The sequence below is a fragment of the Homo sapiens genome, chromosome 5 (genome assembly GCF_000001405.40).
Source record: "Homo sapiens chromosome 5, GRCh38.p14 Primary Assembly".
NCBI classification, from domain to species: Eukaryota; Metazoa; Chordata; class Mammalia; order Primates; family Hominidae; genus Homo; species Homo sapiens.
Genome location: NC_000005.10, coordinates 79,167,927 through 79,171,023, shown reverse-complemented (window position 1 = coordinate 79,171,023; position 3,097 = coordinate 79,167,927). Strand labels below are relative to the sequence as shown.

The window sequence follows — 3,097 nt, the reverse complement described above, 5'->3', positions numbered from 1 at the left end:
AAATATTTTTTGACCACTTCTATGTACCAGACACTATGCTAGGTGTTTGGATGCAGTGGGGAGAAAAAAAACTGCACATGATCCATGACTTTATGGCTTAGACTAGTGAGGGAGATGATATAATAACACATATATATGTGTCAGATTCCAACTTGATGAGCACTATGAAGGACTGTACAAAGTACTAGGAGATAGGAATTTGACCTGGTGATAAAAGCCAATAAAAGCTTCTCTGGGAAACTGATGCTTGAGCAGAAATGTGGAGGAGTTGGAGTTATTAAGGAGGGAATAGTGTTTTAAGTCAAGAAAACAGTATATAGCAAAGTTTCTGTGATAGTGGAGGTCAAGGAGTATAATATGTATTAAAAATTTTGCAGGCCGGGTGCGGTGGCCCACGCCTGTAATCCCAGCACTCTGGGAGGCCGAGGCAGGGAGATCACCTGAGGTCAGGAGTTCGAGACCAGCCTGGCCAACATGGTGAAACCCTGTCTCTATTAAAAATACAAAAATTAGCCAGGCATGGTGGCGGGCACCTATACTTCCAGCTACTTGGGAGGCTGACACAGGAGGACTGCTTGAACCCGGGAATTGGAAGTTGCAATGAGCCAAGACTGCGCCATTGCACTCCAGCCTGGGCAACAAGAGTGAAACTCCATCTCAAAACAACAACAACAACAACAAATTTTGCAGCTGGTCTGAGTGCAGTGGTGTTTACAACTAATTGATCACAACCAGTTACAGATTTCTTTGTTCCTTCTCCACTCCCACTGCTTCACTTGACTAACCTTTGAAAAACATGAGCTTTTGCTCTAATATGTTATATAGGTGTGGCTGGGGTTAGAAGGGCTCTAGATAGACTGGTTAGGAGGTTATTAAATTAGACAAAGTTTGGCTGAATGATATGGAGAAGATGGAAGACACTGGAGAGTTCTGACAGAATTGAGGGATGGTGTGGGCATGGAGGAGAGAGAGAGCTGTCATGGATGACTTCTGCCTTTCAGGCTTGTTCAACCAGATGACTAGCTCACTGGGATACGGGACCATAGAAACCAAGTTAGGAGTATCAGTGAGTGTGGGGAGTGGGGAGAGCATGAACTCATGTTAAGTTTGGATGGCTTTGAGAATCCCAGGAGGACAAGGCAAGTTGTGAGTTGTATAATCGAGTTTGAAACCTGAGGACACAGAGCCTTGCACTGGAGATATAAATTTGTGAGTCCTCTCTGTGTGGATGGTGATGAAGAAATTGAATAGAGCACCTGGGAAGATAATATTTTATAATGAATTTAAATAAATGTTTTTGCTTTCCTTTGAGGATGTGTCTTTTAAGCTTTGTCTCCAAGTACAGCATATATCACTTTGATTCCTGATCAAGGTCTTTCAGGTTTTAGAGCAGGTGGATAAACTCATGAACCTGGGCAGAAATGTCCCTAAAATTATACCACATAATTCAATCCTGCTGGGCTTGTTTAAAAGTTAACTGAAAAGACATGAAAGTTTTTGGTGTGTGTGTGTGTGTGTGTGTGTGTGTGTGTGTGTGTTTTGCAAGTGGCGGGTGGTGCAGGGGAAACAGGGTTTCGCTTTGTCACCTAGGCTGGAGTGCAGTGACGTGAACATGGCTCACTGCAACCTTGACCTCTTTGGCTCAAGAAATCCTCTGCCTCAGCTTCCTGTGTAGCTGGGACCGCAGGTGCACATCACCACACCCAGCTAATTCTTTTTTTATTTTTTTCGTAGAGATGGGCTCTTGCTGTGTTGCCTAGGCTGGTCTCGAACTCCTGACCTCAAGCAATTCACTCGCTTTGGCCTCCCAAAGTGCTGGGATTACAGGCATGAGCCACTATGTCCAGCCTGAAAGATATTTTTTTGAATATTTAGGAAAAATCAAATTTAGCTGTCTGCTTGGGAGGCAGATAGTATGCATGGAGAGAAGGATAGGTAAAATGCAGAGGCCTACACAGAAAATTAAATCCTATGTTGGCAAACAAACCGGTTAAGATGATGGAAGATGTCCTTTCGATCTAAAGCAGTTTGAAGATGTTTCTTGCATGAAGACTGAATTAATCTGATTAAGCAATCTAATTAATCACCCCTATTGTCTTTTAGTAAGTTAAAGGTATTTATTCTATGTCAAGGTGTTCACATTCCTTTGAAATGTAATCTTTCAAATTTACTTCATTTTTTATCTTATTTTATTTTTTGAGATGGAGTCTTGCTCGGTCACCCAGGCTGGAGTACAGTGGTGCCATGTTGGCTCACTGCAACCTTCACCTCCCAGGTTCAAGCTATTCTCCTGCCTCAGCCTCTTGAGTAGCAGAGACTACAGGTGCACGCCACCATGCCTCATTTTCGTATTCTTAGTAAAGATGGGGCTTCACCATATTGGCCAGGCTGGTCTCAAACTCCTGACCTCAGGTGATCCACCAGCCTTGGCCTCCCAAAGTGCTGGGATTACAGGCATGAGCCACCACATCTGGCCTCAAATTTACTTTAATTAATTAATTTTTTTGAGACAAGATCTCACTCTGTTGCCCAGGTTGGAGTGCAGTGGTGTGCAATCATAGCTCACTGCAGCCTCGAACTCCTGGGCTCAAGTGATCTTCCTGTCTTAGCCTCCTGAGTAGTTGGGACTACAGGTTCACACCACCACATCTGGCTAATTTTAAAATTTTTGTAGAGACACTATGTTGGCCAGGCTGGTCTCAAACTCCAGAGCTCAAGCAATCCTCCCACTTCAGCCTCCCAAAGGGCAGAGATAACAGACATAAACCACCACTTCTGCCTGGCCCAAAATGTAATCTTTAACAGCCAGCACAGCTAGGAGAGGTGTGGCTCTTCCTTACTCCATATCTGGTTCCCAATATCCTGGGGCTGTTGCTCTTACCTTCTCTGCCAGTGAGTGGTTGATTATTTCTTTTATGATTTGTTAATTTTGAGTAGAGAAATTATCCATTCAGGTACAATAAGCATGTATTGATTACCTATAATGTGGCAAACATTATTTTCACCTTTATTATCTCTTTTTTGTTTGTTTTTAAAATGCTCCTTGTGTCATACTCCTTTATCTCTTTTAAGAACAAACAAGTATTTGTTAGGTGTC

The 3,097-nt window shown here is 42.9% G+C and overlaps 1 pseudogene; it reads left to right on the top strand.

The window, feature by feature from the left end:
- On the top strand, positions 690–789 carry RNY3P1 (RNY3 pseudogene 1; annotated as a pseudogene).